This window comes from Homo sapiens, chromosome 3 (assembly GCF_000001405.40).
Source record: "Homo sapiens chromosome 3, GRCh38.p14 Primary Assembly".
Taxonomy (NCBI): Eukaryota; Metazoa; Chordata; class Mammalia; order Primates; family Hominidae; genus Homo; species Homo sapiens.
Genome location: NC_000003.12, coordinates 85,567,743 through 85,585,708, shown reverse-complemented (window position 1 = coordinate 85,585,708; position 17,966 = coordinate 85,567,743). Strand labels below are relative to the sequence as shown.

At 35.1% G+C, this 17,966-nt stretch overlaps 1 protein-coding gene across 15 annotated transcripts in view, besides 1 other annotated feature; it reads right to left on the bottom strand.

Moving 5' to 3' along the window:
• Positions 1-17,966, bottom strand: part of CADM2 (cell adhesion molecule 2) — a 1,115,441-nt gene that overhangs the window by 488,721 nt on the left and 608,754 nt on the right. The gene's annotated exons all lie outside the window — the stretch shown is intronic.
• Positions 9,045-9,621: an enhancer, noted in NCBI's record as "OCT4-NANOG hESC enhancer chr3:85625238-85625814 (GRCh37/hg19 assembly coordinates)". NCBI's record gives its function as "activates a minimal SCP1, AML or CMV promoter by ChIP-STARR-seq in naive H9 embryonic stem cells {active_cell/tissue: H9 hESC(naive)}" and the evidence as "EXISTENCE:reporter gene assay evidence [ECO:0000049][PMID:30033119]".

The following is a 17,966-nucleotide window of genomic DNA, read 5'->3' as shown; positions in this document are numbered from 1 at the left end:
ACAGCTTTTAGAACACAGATCTCCTACACAGCAAATTTTGATAAATGTTTAAAATTGTTACAGTAGATCCCCCTTATCCTCAGAAGGTATGTTTCAAGATCGTCAGTGGATGCCTAAAAGTGCAGATAGTACCCAATCCAATATATACTATGTTTTTTTATACAAACATTCCTATGATAAAGAATTCGAGATGAAACAGCAAAACCAGCAACAATTTCCTTTCACTTCTTCACAATTTCATGAATAGAAGAGCCATTCTTACCATAGATCTTATAAACCTCATCATACAAGATATATATATACATATATATGTATATATTTTCTTTTCAAGTACCAACTTCCACCGTTTCACTAAAAATGAAGCACTTTATGGCTTCTGTTTGGCATATCTGAATTGCCAGCATCAATAATTTTGCACTTTGGATCCACTGTGGATCCAAATTACAGTAAGGGTTACTTGAACACGAACACTGTAATACTGCCACAGTTGATCTGATAACAAGACAGCTACTGAGTGACTTATGGCCAGGTGGTTTCAACAGAGTGGATATGCTGGACCAAGGGATGATTCAGGATCCGAGAGGCATGGAGCAGACTGCATGAGATTCCATTACGCTGCTCAGAATGGCATGCAATTTAAGAGGTATGAATTGTTGATTTCTAGAAGTTTCCATTTAATATTTTTCAACCGCAGTTGAAGGCAGTTAACTGAAACCATGGAAAGTGAAACCGCGGCTAAAGGGTGACCACTGTACTTCCGATTTCACAAATCTCTCTTCAGGTTTATTCTCTGATGAAGATTAAATTTAACTGATAAAATCTTTATCAGTTCCCACAAGAAGTTAGCTTAGAAGTAGCACAAGCTTTAAATTTCAGGAATGATGGAATTAAATGACAGGTTCTTGAGGTAATTATATAAGAACTGTCTTGAGTTGTAACTTTCAGATGCTACAAGCAGAGCCAATCTGTCTCAGAATCCATGAAAAATTAAAAATATTGTGCTTCCCTTACAAAGACAATGCACGTTCCAATATCATCCTATTTTTCTTTTCTTTTTCAAGTCAATTTTGGCCATGTGAACTTCTGGGACAAAAAAGGGGAAGTACATTTTCACACTACTAACATTAGAAACAGTAAGGTGGTGTAGCAACTTAAATGTCACATCTTTAGGAAACTTGGGAAATTTAATTATCCCCTTTTGACGGCAAGCACCATAACATATATTTATAAACAAATAAAACCAAGTAGTTAAGTCTTCGAATTTCTTTGCATTACTGTAGATAAACGGGTAGCATAATATTATTTGCATATTATTTGTGTTTAAATTTGAACTTTATATCTTAGTATAAAAATGAACCCAACCAGAAGTGATTAAGGTAGAGGGATTAATTTCCTCTAGACTGAAATATACAGAATGCTCCCAGTGGAATATTATCAGTATTCTACAGACTGCTTTCCTGACACCTGCATTTTTCTTGGTTTTTATTTAAAATGTGAGGCTCTTAAAGATCATTAAATATTACAACTGAAGTATACACATATTATATGTTTATATGTATATGTAAAAGCTAGATGACCATAAAGCTAAATTTACACTAACCAAAAATAGTTTCTCAATTCTACTAATTACAAATAAAATTTTTGCATAATTTTAACAATATGACAAATTGCATTATAAATAAAGGGTAGAAAGTAATTTTTTGAATCTATGGATGTCCTCATGAACAGGCTAAGTAATCTAAATAAATGCATATATTTAAAAGTACAAGTGGTAGTCATTATATTGGGAAATTTTCTATAGTTGGAATTTTCAAATTTATATTTCAAAATTGCAATATTTCATAATCTTGATTCTGATAAGCATTCTGCTTATTTTTGAATGGTTCTCTTTAAAAAAATGTAATTTCATGCTAATATTTCTTGCTGAAACACATTGATTTCAAGTAATTTTTAATATATGGAAATTATTAGAACAGATACTATTCATAAATCTATTACCCTTTTTAAAAGGTTTGGTTGTTGCTTTACAGATTATTTAAAAGTTTATTTTTTGTCCCATTTGCTCCCACATTTAATGATAATGTATTTAAAAATAAACATCTTCTATAATCCTATTGAACTTTTAAAAGTTTAGTTTCAACCATCTAGAATGATTCTAAAATGAAACCATTTGCTCAATTTCCACTATGTTTCCAAAGCTTTTCATGTTGACTTTATTGTTTTTAGAATGACAATGATTAGAGATAAGCAAAAGATATAACTTTCACCCTCCTGTGACCACTTACTATTGCTTTAGTAGGACAGTCGTTTCCAGAAAAAAAGTCCTCAACTTGAGATCTCCAATTCTAAACAACAGTGTGAATATGGTGAAGTTCGCCTTTGGCAACCTAGGAAAATATCCAACCCTGGTTCTCAAAAATTATTTATACAAACTGGCTGACTAAATGAGTGAATGAAGCCATCATCAATTCAACAGAGACCCAAATTTACAAAGCCATACACATCTCAGGCTTTTCGAGTTCTTATAATAGCTGCTTCTGTGGTACTAAAGACATGTAGGACTCAAAGACTGCCAGTTGTCATGAAGTTCAGGAATCTATTTGAACTTTATTCCTAACGTATAGTAAATAATAATTAAAAATCCCCACCAACATATATTCAGCACTTCCTATACACCAGGCACTGTACTAAACACATAAGTAATTTATCTCTTTCAGTCCTAAACACCTTTTTTCTTTTTTGGGGTAGGTATTATTACCACCCTTATTTTACAAATTTGGAAACTAATGCTCAGAGAAGGTAAGTAAATGACTTGCCAACCGTCACCAACAAGGATGTGGTGAAGCAGAGATTCTACTCACCCATTTCATTCACTCTATTAGATTCCTAGCATTTGTACAATACTTTCCAAGATAAATAGCTGACAACTCTATTTTTAGTACTTTCTGTTGTCTAATTATGTCTGCCAAGAGTTCAAATGTTATGCCCAGTTCCCAATGTGATGGTATTTGGACATGGGGCCTTTGGGAGTTAATTCTGTGTAGCTGAGATTATGAAGATGGGGTCCTCATGATGGGATTAGTGCCCTCATGAGAAAAGAAACCACAGAGTTTGCTCTCTCTCCATCTTCCATGTAAGAACACTGCCAGAAGGCAGTTGTTTATAAGCCAGGAAGAGAGCCCTCAACAAAACTTGAGAATATCTGTTGTTGAAGGCATCAACATTTATTTAGTTATGGCAGCCTGCGCTAACTAAGACAGTACTCATATACTACTTCTGCAATAAACCATCTCTAAAAATCTCGTTTAACAAGCAGATCAATGAATCAGTTATCATCTGCTAGAACAATTTTTGGATTCCATTGATTGATTCACCTAATTATGCTTTCTGGCTTATTGTTACTTTTCATGCTTCCTTATATTTTATTGGGATTTATTTTCTCTCAAAATTTTAGAGTGACTCTATTATTAGAACTTCAAATTAAGGGCCAGGCGTGGTGGCTCAGGACAGTAATCCCAGCATTTTGGGAGGCTGAGGCAGGCGGATCATGAGATCAAGAGATCGAGACCATCCTGGCCAACATGGTGAAACCCCATCTCTACTAAAAATACAAAAATTAGCTGGACTTGGTGGCGCGTGCCTGTAGTACCAGCTATTGGGTGACTGAGGCAGGAGAATTGCTTGAACTCAGGAGGTGGAGGTTGCAGTGAGCAGAGTTCACACCACTGCACTCCACCCTGGTGATAGAGCAAGACTTCATTAAAAAACAAAACAAAACAAAACAAAACAAAACAAAAAACACTTCAAATAAAATAGCATGGTTTAAAATTCATCATAACCACATTATATATTTAAAACCTTCAGTTCACCTTTTTTTTTTTTGAAGTATAAATACTCGAAGCTCACTAAGAACTTAAGATGTCTGATAATGTCTTTATTTGGCTTCACTTTTGTCCAGATATTGCCCATGTAATTACCACACTGCTGGAAGGCAAAGAAATGATAGCCCAGTTTTCCATGTATGAGCAAGTTTATTCAGCTTCAGGGATTATTGGGCAAGCTCTCAAGTGTTACAGGGTTCAATTTAAATGCCCTCTTAAATTAAAGGTAGTTTAACAAAAACTTGCTTGTAATTGTGCTGCAAATACAGAAAAGAAAAAAATATACTTTTAAAATGACTCGATAGCTTGAAGCATGATTTCTTCCTCATAGATCATTTTATTCTCTTGCTTCATATGTTCTTTTTCACCCTCAAAGTCCTTTTTTTTTTTTTCTTGAAACAACCTTGACTTTTTCAGGAAGAATTTTTTCTAATTCTTACGTGTTTCTGTTTAACATATATAACAAGAGAGAATGACTGTTTTTATTCCCGTAGGTCTCAATGTCTAGACATTAGCTTCTTCCTCAAAATAGATATCATAAATATTTATGCATAGACCTAGTGTAGTATATAATATTTCTGTTGTTTGTTGATTGGCTTAATGAATGAAAGAGCACATTGAAAAGTTTTAAAAGAACATTCAAATGTGGACAAATGTACGTGCAATGTAAATTCAAGTGATTAAAGTCATTTTAAAAATTAGGCATGTTTCTAAACATAGTGTGCAGAGTAATCATTAAAAATAATCTATGGGAACATTTCATGTAATGATAATTTATGCTCAATAGTCTCAACAAGTAAAAACAAAAAACCAAACGTCATACTAGACTTCAAATATACTTCTCCATTTTAAATGTGTGTATATAGAAATCAAGATCTTTGTGTACTGGAATGAATCTACATATAATAGTAAAAATAACAGCTAACATATTCTAAGCATTTAGCATTTAACAAATTCTGTTCTAAACTGTTTTACATGTATTAACTTAATTATCACAAGTGAAATATACAAATGAAAGATTATTATAATATAAAATTTGACAGTATTTTGCAAGGTTTTTGTAATAGGATTCATTCTGCATTGTAGTTTTAACAAAATTATGAATTTGTTAATGAAATAATATCAGGAAATTCACTTGACAAATTCCCATTTATCAGAAGACTTTTATTTGATACCAGGAAAGATAGAAAAAATAGGTCATTATTTAGGTCAATTATACCAGGACCCTCCCTGGAATAAATCATATCTATATTTGAAAAAGGAAATTTGATTAGTAATTTATGCAATGCTAATTAGTTTTTGGCCACAAGCCACCTTTACCACCCGCATCACCCTTTCATTCCAATACCGTTGGGTTAGTTCTAATCTTATTCTGAAAGTTGTTTAACCTAAAATGTCTTTAGGGGATAATTTTCTAACCACCTTTTAAACTACCACCCACAGTTTCTCACAAACTAAGATGCATCGGAAAGGTTATTTCTTCTTCTTATTTTTTTTTCTTAAATGGAACAAAAGAAATATTAAACATGAATGATGTTAGACAATTTGATACATTCTGTTGAAGATACTGTCCTCCTGCATATGCAATGGGATAAACTGCTACTAAATTCTAGGTTGATAGCATTGTAGTAAATAACTGAAATGATTAAATGGGTCAATAAATAACTTACATTTCGAAGTTTCCTGGTTTTAAATGATTTGAATGATCTTAATTTGAAATAATTGGTGTAAACTGAGATTATGTAAATGATTTCTTGCCATCCTCAAAACGTAGATGTCAAAGCCATTGACAATGATTTAGCTGAGTAAAAACAATGGAATTATTTGCATTTCTAAGGCATGTATAGAACAAGAAATCTGTGTCATGACTTCTTCCCATATGTGTATGTAAACATATACATTTTCTGCAGGATGTACATATACACATTAATGTGTACACACATGCACACAGATGCACATACACACAAACATATAAATACATATGTATACATATAAATGCAATATACATATTTATATGAATCTATATATCTATGTAAATTAGATATCTATATAAATCTATATGAATTAGAGACCTGTATTGAGCCCATATTTTTTCTACACAAGGCCATTCATCATTTTAAATGTTTCATTAGGTCACTGGCACTTACTTTTTATATTATTAATATTACCTTAATAATTTTAGTAACATTTAAGAACTGAATTTTACCATTATATTCTGAAAATCAAAAGTAAGTGTAATTACTCAGAATAAATCAACAGCTATTTCATTGCATGTTAACAAACTTGACTCTATCATTAAGCAATGGGGAGCCATGAAAGGAACTGACTAAATCTGCATTTTAGACAAGTCAGCATAGCAGCCTTGTGCATGTTGAAATTGCTGGTCACAAAGACCCATTAGGATGCTGTTGCATGCACACATCTGAGAAATGGTTAGGTCGTAAACTAGGCAGTGATTGTGAGACCAAATGGGTCTGGGGAAACTAAGGATGAGGAATAAAGAAAGAGTCCTAGAGTAAATGGATACCTGGGATTCAATCACCTGCAATAAAATTCAAGGAAAAATAACAAAATGAGGAAGAATGAAGGAAGGTAGGATGGTATATTTTTGGAGGATTGAGTTTTAAAAATTATAAATTAAGTTCATGACTCAAATTTATTTGCTCAAATCTACTTATACAAATATCTTGCTAATTAGTTTCCTTAGATATTACCACTGGATCCAGAGGTACCTAGAAAATCTTTTATTTATTTATTTACTCATTTATTTTTAAGGAGAAGATAAAACACAATTTGAAATTAGCTTCAAACTTTTAGCAGCTATAAGACGTCAACAACCCAGTTTGTGCTTTAATACTTGCAACACCGTGGCTGCTAATTTGAAACATTTCACACTTTGTTAAATTTTAAGAGTTCTCCACCTTTTCAATTTAAAATACAAATAAATATAATGGGAGTGTGTGAATGACTCGACTTTATAATCACAGATGGGAGGGTATAAAGTTGATATCAATAGCAACAGAAATTAGAAACTAATCACCACTAATGTTAAATAAAGATGACATAGAACAGAATATCTAATCTGATTTAATTGAAATTTAAATTCATAGATGCAAAAGAATAAGAATACAATCATCTTTTCCTGCTTTATCAGTGCACACAAGTACTATCAGGTTGTATAATCACATTCCTTTGCAAAGTATCATGATGCTGTTTCATGAAGAATAGCTAGAGAAAGTGATGCTGACGAATAAATTATGGTTTCAAGTGCTTGACCTGCATAAAAGTTTACCCTCCAGAAGGGCTGTTAAACAAAAGAACTCTAAAGTCTTGATCTATTTATTTTTTTAAGTATGGCCTTTGCCCTGTTTTTAACCTCATTTAACTCTCATTATAAAACATCTCTCTCATATCAGTATAAAAACCTATGTTAGAGAAAATCCAGCGCCTACTCTCAAAATGATATTGCAAACAATGTATTTGTTGCTTTCTTCAGAGTTGAGGATGAGTGGTGTGTCTTCTGATTTTCATTTTAGAACACACTCTTCAGTAATTTTAGCTTTGTTTTGAAACTACTACATAATCATTAGTGCATCTGACAATGCAGACTTCCTACCTGTCATCACATGACACCTATTAAAAGGAAAATGACCGGAAGGTGGAGGTTGCAGTGAGCCGAGATCGCGCCACTGCTCTCCACTCTCCAGCCTGGGTGAAAGAGTGAAACTCTGCCTCAAAAAATAAAAATAAATAAAAATAAATAAACAACATAAAATAAGAAAGAAAGGGGGGGAAGAAAGGAAGGAAGGAAGGAAGGAAGGAAGGAAGGAAGGAAGGAAGGAAAGAGATTAATAGGTAAGATTATAAAAATCTTATAATGTTAGAGGATAATTTTTTAGTGAAACAAGACTGATTTTGGGACAGTGAGCAGAATATGTGCTTTCTAAACAGAATATACATTGTTTTCTTATACTTGTTCTCCATTTGTCTGATGTTACACAGAAAGGTTTATAAAATAATAGTTATAGGGCAATTTAAAAACTTTACTTGTTAAAAAATAAAACAACAATAAAAATAGAGTTCACAGATTACAATGCTAAATTTAAGGCATTTAAAATGTTTTTAATTTTAAAAATAAAACATGAAATATAGGTAAGATGGTGTTTGGAAAAAAACAAAATATTAAAATACATGTTTTTAATAATAGAAAATAAGAAAAAAATGTCCTTTGTCTTGGCCTGTTTTGTGTTCTATAACAAAATATCACAGACTGGGCGATTTTTGAATGAAATAAACTTATGTCTTAAAGTTCAGGAGACCAAGGTTGAGGGGGCTGCATCTGCTGAAGGCCTTCTTGCTGCATGGCAGAAGGAGGAAGGGCAAGAGAGCACGTGCGAGAGAGCAACGGGGCAGGAGAGGGCCTAACTTGCTTTTATAATAAGCCTACTCTCTCTAGAACTAACTCACTCTCATGATAACAGCATTCATTCATTCATGAGGGTAGAGCCCTTCTAACCCAATCTCCTCCTATAGGCCCCATTTTCAACCCCGTTATATTGGGGATTAAGCTTCCAACACATGAACTCCGGGGGACACGTTCAAATCATAGCATCCTTAAATGCAACTGAAAGAAGCTTCAAGTTGAAAGTAATTTATGAATGGTGAATGCACAATGTAAACTGGAAAACCCTTTGTAAGAAAAAAAATAGAGAATCAACGGATAAAGACTCAGATGGGGTACATAGATTTCATTGTCTATATAGAAGGTTTGCCAGTTCATTAGTAGTGACAAATATTTTTCCGGACTTGACATCCAGGAGAATTTTGTCACAATGGTCATTTTAGTCAGCCAACAATAAGATCTTGTCCCCATTTGTGTTCTATTTGTTGCTGTCTCTTCTTGGTGGCTCTGGGTAAACAATAGAAGACTATTATAGAATACAATAGGGGATATTATTCACATGAATAGAGAATAAAAGGGAGGGTGGTATAGTCTAGGTTAATAGTTATCGGAGAGCTGTAGTAATAGTTTTAAGAGTAGATGACTCCTTCAAACCAGATTTTCTCAAACTTTTGGTTAGGGGAGAAATGTATAATTTTGGTCAAAAATTTGAGATTTGAAATACGACTGCTGGCCCTGCAATTTGAAAAATTATAACATTAACTCCAAATGAATAAATAAAAAGAGTCAGAATGCACTATCGCTATGATTTTATAAAAGGAAACAACACTTCCAAGAGAGAAAATCTAGTTACTTTATACTAATATTTGTGTATGAGTATGTTTGTGCCTCCATATGTGTGTGTAAACATTGTCATGGAATCTCAACATTTTTAAGGTGACTTTGGGAAGCACTGCTTTAAACTCATTTTTTTTAAATTGTCAGATTCAGGATTTTGTCATAAAATGCACAGCAGGAATACAAATTTGATGTATCCAGCAATCGTCGGATGTTCTTTGTTCTCAAATGAGATCACTTTGTGTGATTTGAATTTGAATGCTTTCTCAGCTTTGAGGACCATATGTCCGCAGTTCTAAGGTACTGCCACTAGATGGCAGCCTTGCCTACCTCTTTCAGGCAAGGCAACTGCTTCTAAAGCAGAGATGATTTTCTCTAAGAAAATAACTTTTTATTGAAGACATAAATTTAATGTTTACATAACTAATTTTTATAATAAATAAATTATGTTAAAACAAAGTTGACAATCTGGTAGTTATACTAAGAGGTGTCACATGATTCACTATATAGAAATGCAAAATCATTTATGGAGTGAACTTTTGGCTAGACAGTTTCCATGGATTGTGCTAAAATTCACAAAACCCTCTAGGAAAAATACTATTATTACCTCTGTTATGAATGAGGGCACTGAGGTTCAAAAAGGTTAGAGAAGTCTTGAGCGCTTAGTATTTTCACTTCTGTCTACACGTAGGTGTCATCTTCAGTACATACTCATTCTATGCTGAATAATTTGCAGTTTCCTGAAAATTCTTATTTTTACATATTTTTGCATGCTCTTTTAAAATCTATCTGTAATATATTCCTATACACAGTTCCCCTTCCTTTTTCCCACCCAACAGTTTGACATCATACTATCATGCAAGTGTCATCTCAAAACATACTTTTTGTGAAAGAACCTAGTCTTCACATATAATCATTAAGCCATGTTCTATAATCCTATCTTCTTTATTTTACATAAAAATTTAGCATACTGTTAGATAACAAGCTACTATTTCAATCATTTATTTTATTTTATTTTATTTTTTATGTTTTGTTTTTGAGACGGAGTCTCGCTCTGTCGCCCAGGCTGGAGTGCAGTGGTGCCATCTCGGCTCACTGCAAGCTTCGCCTCCAGGGTTCACGCCATTCTCCTGCCTCAGCTTCCCGTGTAGCTGGGAGTACAGATGCCCGCCACCACGCAAGGCTAATCTTTTGTATTTTTAGTAGAGATGGGGTTTCACCATGTTAGCTAGGATGGTCTGGATCTCCTGACCTTGTGATCCACCCACCTTGGCCTACCAAAGTGCTGGGATTACAGGCGTGAGCCACTGCGCCCAGCCCAATCATTTTAAAGAGTATATTTTTGGTAAGTTCATGCATTTTCATTGAAGATTCTAATTGAAAATAGAGTAAGCAAAAAAGGAACTTACGGATACACATAAATGAAAATTATAAGAGTAGTCTCATTGATATGGTAGCTAATTCAGACTCATCTCTCTCTACTAGTCACCATCTTAATTTCTTTCTCAGGCTTGCACTGATGGGGAAGGAGGGGCCACTAACTATTACATGCCTAAATATTTTTAAAGAGGGCAATTTTAAAAAGAAAAAGGTGACTCACTCTCCTATAGTCTATCTACTCTCAATAAGGGTAATCAGCTTGAGTAATGGGTCTTTTTGGAGAAAGGGATGGGGTTCTGGGATTAGCTAGGTCACAACCAGGTGCCTCCTGCTGTGACCAGAGAGTTTGCTAAAGTGCTCTACTGACAATTTTATGAGAACCCCCTAGACTGAGGTAGAGGAGAAATTTCTCAACGCACTGATAGAGTCCTCTAATTTGAAAAATAAGAGATATGTACTCTAGATGTATAGCTAAAGAAACATATCATGCAGTAGAGGATTTTACACTGGGTATATATTTTCTATTGTACATTTTACAGAGTTGGAATTTTTGTTTTACTTCGGTTCATTTGAACATTTCTATACTTCTAAAAGAGATGAAACAACTAAGTCTTTGAAGGTTAGTAATACCAGGGAAAGCTGAACAGATTGAGGGACCTTACATGATTCAGCCAGGGAACACTTTTTGCCCTAGAGACATAACAGGAAGACATTCTTGGGCCTATGTATCATTTTACAGAATTGGAACACTGTAGTGGACTGACAGTAAGTGGACCGAAAATGAAGAGAACACACCAAGTTGCTACAGGCAAAGCATACTTGCAAACTAAAATCCTCATTAGCAGCACAAAGCTGGAAGCCAATTTTTTGCTACCTTAGCAGAACCCCAGCCAAGGATGCACTAATTAGACATAGAGATAACCTATGTTGCTAAAGCAAATCCATCCTTTGTTTATGATTAGCCATGGAGTGAGAGCAGTGAGCTTCAAGATCCAAATTCCAGTCATCACTGGTAAGAAGCACAGGAAATGTCTAGGCCTAAAAACTTGCCCAGACTGAGGACTAGAAATATGGTGTTTGCTTAAATGTTAACCCTTCAACCTAACAAAGTCTGATCCCACATAGCTAAGGGTACTAGGTAAAGTGATGAGGAGGAAGGAGGCATAGAGAGACAGATGAAATGTCTCATGGATACATTGGACATAATCTGAAATAACCAGTCAGTATCGTGGACAGCTGGGTAAGCAGAAGCTGAAATTTCAAACATGCTTCACATGTTGCATATGTAGATTACTACAATAGACTCTCAATCCGTATTGGTGATGTGGTGAGGATGGTGAGGATTGGTCTCTGTGGGCAGACATGTCATAAGGACTAGTTAATTAAAGTGATTAGACATTAGTAGTCACAGAGATTTTGAAAATAGTAAAGCAGGGAATAAGATCACGTAAACTTGTAAGCTTTCAACAAGCCACTGTGAATGTCACAATTTGATCATAGATACCTGAGAGATGGACATTGCACAAACACTTCACTTTATGGACAATAATTTGTACAAGAAAAGTTATCATCCTGAGATTACATATTCATGCAAGATCATAACCAGGATTAGAATTCCAAGAGGTTTTAATTCAGTGCCTTTTACAATGTTACACTGATAGTAGTTAATAGAAATATAGCCATTAGAAGCACACACTTTTATATATAGGCTGGGAGCGGTGGCTCACACCTATAATGCCCCTATAATGCCAGCACTTTGGGAGGTCAAGGCGGTGGGTCACCTGAGATCAGAAGTTTGAGACCAGCCTGGCCAGCATGGTGAAACCCGTCTCCTCTAAAAATACAAAACTTAGCTGAGCCTGGTGGCATGCACCAGTAATCCTAACTTCTTGGGAGGCTGAGGCATGAGAATCACTTGAACCCGGGAAGCAGAGATTGTAGTGAGCCAAGATCACACCACTGCACTCCAGCCTGGGCAACAGGCGAGACCTTGCCTCAGTAAATAAATAAATAAATAAATAAATAAATAAATAAATAAATAAATAAATAAAATAAGCACGTTTTTATATATTACATTGAGATTGTCATGTAGATGTTGAAATAAGCTATTTTTGTCGAAATACCCTAACTTTCCCATTTATAACAATAAGATATTTTCTGTTAAAATAGTTCATTAACTAAAATGGACTGCATCTTATGTATACACGATTAGGATAATATGTACAGTGTAATGTTAATTTTAGGTGTTAACTTGTCTGGATTAAGAAATACCTAGAAAGCTAGTAAAGTATTACTTTGGGGTGTGTCTGTGAGTATGTTTCCAGAGGAGATAAAGGTAAGTCTGAGTGGACTACCTGGTGGGAAGATCTATCTTCAGTGTGGTAGGGCACCATCCAATCTGCTGGTGGCTCAGAGAGAACAAAAAGAAAAAGTGAATATGTTAATCTATCTACTGAAGCTGGACTCTTTCTCTCCTGTCCTTGGACAACTTCAGTCCTGCTGGCCTTTGGACTCCAGGACTTAAAGACTAGTGACACCACTGATTCTCAGGCTTTTGGCCTCAGACCAAGAGTTATACCATTGGCTTTTCTTGTTCTGAGGCCTTTGGACTTGAACCAAGACAAATAACAAGCATCCCACGGTCTCCAGCTTGCAGAAGACTCGTCATGAGATTTCTCAGCTTCCATAATCATGCACGCCAATTTCCCTAATAAGTTACCTCTTCCCCGTCTCCCCTCTCTCTGTCTCTCTCTGTCTCTACTCATCTTATTGCTTCTTTCTGGAGAACCCTATAGGTACATGCATTTACATATAAGTATGTTTGTTTCTTAAGTATACAAACTTTTATGCCTCATATATTTTTACATAAAGCTTTGTAACATGAAAATTCACATGAAGTTTATTTATTTTTTATTTACTTTTTACACAGAGTCTTACTCTGTCGCCCAGACTGGAAAGCAGTGGCACAATTGCAACCTCCGCCTCCTGGGTTCAAGTGGTTCTCCTGTCTCAGCCTTCCCAGTAGCTGAGATTCCAGGCATCCGCCACCATGCCCGGCTAATTTTTATATTTTTAGTAGAGACAGGGTTTCGCCATGTTGGTCAGGCTGGTCTCAACTTCCTGACCTCATGTGATCCACCGGCCTCGGCCTCCTAAACTGCTAGGATTACAGGCATGAGTCACCATGCCTGGTCCACATGAAGTTTTGAAATAGAGCTCTAGTAACCTGGCTTGTTAGTAATTGTGTAACTAGCCCAGACTGAAGTTGGTCATATTTTTAACATAGGCAATGTCAAAGCACATTGTATACCATGACTAAACTTCTGCATCTTGGGATCATTTCATTCATGACTATAAGTCATGTAGGGCTGATGTATGTATGTTCAATACCACCTCAAAAGCAGACCTTACAAAATAGTCATTGACTTGCCCATCAATGTCAGAAAATAACTTAACAGGTGCTATAATCTACTAACAACTAGATATAAAAGTTACAATCCAAATATCTTTGGGAGAAACAACATAGCAATTTGAATTCCCAACAAAGCATGAGAAAAATAAGTTTAGCTTAGAGAGTAAGAATTCAATGTGCTATATGGGACATATACAAATATACAAATAATGTTCATTAATAATACAGAAGATTTAACTATTTTAAGTGACCAAGTTGTTATTTATTTTAAACTTCTTTTTTTATCCAATAATTAAATACACACATGTGCACATGCGTGTGCACACAGACACACAGCTGACATTTTCATAAATGAGTGGCCTGCAAAATTTCAGCAGAAAAAAAAAACATCTGGACAATTATAATTGCAAGGTTTCCTAAGCATAAGATTCTAAGGTCATAATTCTATTGCACTAAGTTTTATAAATCAACTGGAAAAAAAGCCATTTTGAGGAAAGGACTCATATGAGAATATCTGACATAAATTATTAACACCTTGAAAGTACATTCATATGGATAATTTATTAATGTTCTTATTTTGCATATTTCTAGATAAAATTATAAGAATTTCATGCCAAATGAATATCTTTGTATGAAATCATCACTTCAGGATGATAGAAACAGAAGTAACAGGAATAACAGCTTCAGGGAGCAACAGACTGGATGCAGTAGAGGAGAACTCTAGAAAATAGACCCGCCCATCAGCGGCTTCACTTATGAGCCCACACTTCACCATCAGTTTTGCATATTTAGCAAGCATAATAATCATGCTTCTAACATTTTGTTATTCTTATAATAAAATGAAAAAAAATCAGGTAGTTCCTCAAAAATCTCATTTCCCTTTTCTGAGCAGCGGTTCTTACTTTTCAATAGCACTCCACACCTGATTAGACTCACACACAATCTTTGTATATTTTCACTGGAAATGGTGTAGAAGATAAATTACCAAGTAATCATTTACTCTCCCAAAACAAGTTTTATTGATTTTCAGATTTGTGGCAATAGATTCTATCTGTAATAGAAGAATCTGGAATTCTATATTTTTCCCTTGGATAATAAGACAACCATCTGTAATAATGTAGGGTATAGCTAATCACTGTGTTAGGTTAGTATTTTTCAATACTTCAATTTAAGTCTCAAAATCAGTTTTTAAAAACGCTACCTATTTTTGTGCTCACAAAAGACCATATGTCTGAAAAAAATCATAATACAGTATGGAGCTCTTTAATGCTACAATATAGACTTTAATTGTTCTTTATGTCTATATGACTGAAAGTAAATATATATCTACAATTTGCATTGGTGGACCCCATTAGCTCATCTCCTTAAAAATGGTTTCATTATTTTATATTCTTTATTTTACTTATTAGAATTATATAACCTTAGTACTTGAGCTTCGTAAAAGATTTCCTCTGTAATATTTGGTGCTCTTCTTGGTAGCCTCTGTTTTGATATGTAATTATTAACTCATGTTTATTTAAGCTTCTGTTGGGATCATTAAAAAATTCCCCAAAAGTCAAGAAAAATGAATTGATGATAGTAGGTAGACAGGCAGATTTCTAAATAAATATATGGACAGAAAAATATATCAGGAAATGTTTCTATTTTTCCAATGACTATCCTTAGGATAAGGATAATTAATTTGTCAAATCTATAAACTACATTCACAAAAGTAATCTAGCTTAAAGGATGATCACTAGCATTTGTGTTATGGAGCTGTGCTCTGAAGAACAGATACATGTTTGAATCATATAAAATGAGCTAGGTTCCTATATAATAGCAACATTCTGCAACTGAAAATTAAAGGAAATGTCCATGGAATTTACATAATTCAGCCAGTTCTGCTTTGCCAATCGAGAATTATATACAAATACTGAATAATGTATTTACAAGACTATTATAAGACACACAGCAATTCCTTCCAACCCTCATTTCTTCTGCCTCAGATTAGGTTTTTCTTTCTAACCTAAGTCACTGAAATCTACTTCTAAGTTACATCATTGACTCTAATTTCTCATTTCATTCTATTTTCTTTTTTTTTTCTTTTTTTTTTTTTGCCATTAGAAAGGTTCCTCTAAAAAACATTGATCTAACCAATCATCCCATATTGGAAACCTAGGATGACACTACACACCTATCGGAATGCTAAAATAAAATATTCAACAAAGAACAACACCAAATGCTGGCAAAGATGTGGGGACAGGGTCACTCGTATATTGCTGGCTGGAAGCTAGAATGGTACAGTGATTTTGCAAGATAATTGGGTAGTTTCTTCAACTGAGTAATTGCACTGCTGGGCATTTATTCCAGGGAAATAGCATACTCACACAAAAAGTTGCACACAAATATTCATAGCAGCTTTATTCTTAATAACCCCAAACTGGAAACAAACCAGATATCCTTCAATGGCTAGATGATTAAATATAATATAGGATAGTCTTACCATGGAATAGCAGTCAGCAAGAAAAAGAAACAAGCCGCTGATAGGTGCAACAATTTACATGCGTCTCATGGGAATAACACTGAAGGAAAAAAAAAGAATCTAAAAGGTACATCCAGTGTGATTTCATTTATACAGCATATGTTAACAAAAGCCAGAAATCAGGATTGGGTGTGGAGGGGAGGTAGGTGTGCCTATAAAAATGCATCACTAGGGATCCTCGTGGTGATAGAGCTGTTTTGGGACTTAACTGTTTCCATGTCAATATCTGAGTTGTGATATTGTAGCACAGTTTTGCAAGATGTTACCATGGGGTGGCAACTGGATGTGAATTTATAATTATGTCAAATTGAGACGTTTGATTAAAATGAAAAACTATGTCAATGTGCCTACAGAGAGGAGTGCAAACTTTAAAATTTCATATAAAACGTTCAGAATATTGTCCGTATTGGAAGGCCGAGGTGGACGGATCACCTGAAGTCAGGAGTTTGAAACCAGCCTAGCCAATATGGTGAAACCCCATCTCCACTAAAAATACAAAAAAAAAATTAGTTTGGTGTGGTGGCTCACGCCTGTAATCCTAGCTACTCGGGAGGCTGAGGCAGGAGAATTGCCTGCTCCCAGGAGGCGGAGGTTGCAGTGAGCCGAGATCCTGCCACTGCACTCCAGCCTCGGCAACAGACAGACTGTAAAAAAAAAAAAAAAGAAAGAGAGGAAAGAAAAGAAGGAAAGAAAGAAAGAAGGAAGGAAGGAAAAGAAAGAAAGAGAAAGAAAGAAAGAAAAGAGAGAGGGAGGGAGGGAGGAAAGAAAGAAAGAAAGAAAGAAAGAAAGAAAGAAAGAAAGAGAGAGAAAGAGAAAGAAAGAAAGAAAGAAAGAAAGAAAGAAAGAAAGAAAGAAAGAAAGAAAGAAAGAAAGAAAGAGGGAGGAAGGAAAGATTGTAGGTAACAATCCTTACCACTCTTTACTGGCTCTGCCTTCTCTCCCTACTTCTACCCTATAAACTATGCTTCATACACTCTAAACTGTGTAAGATTTCTTTCTTGCATTTCTTGTGTACCACTTCGCAGAGTGAATTGTGATTATTTGGACTGTAGTCTGTCTCAGTAGTAGTGAACTCTAAGAACGCAGGTTCTGCCCACAGCGTTCCCCCTCTTCCCCTCTGTGATTTGAGCTGTCAATTTGATGGAATTAAGGGATACATAGATAGCTGGTAAGACATTACTGCTGAGGATACCTTTGAGGGTGTTTTGGGAAGAGACTGGCATTTGACTCAGTGGACTTAGTAAGAAAGATCCTTCCTCAATGTGTGTGGGTACCATCCAAAGACTGAGGGCCCAGAGAGAACAAAAAGGGGGAGAGCTCCCTAGAGCGGGGCCTCCCTTCTCCTCCTGCCCTTCCACATTAGACTTCCAGGCTTTCCAGTCCTTGGACTCCAGCACTTCTACCAGCAGCTCCGTGGGTTCTCAGGCCTTTGACCTCAGACTGAGATTCACACCATGGGCTTCCCTAGTTCTGAAGAACTTGAATTTGGACAGAGTCATGCTACCAGCCTCCTTGTTTCTTGAGCTTGCAGAT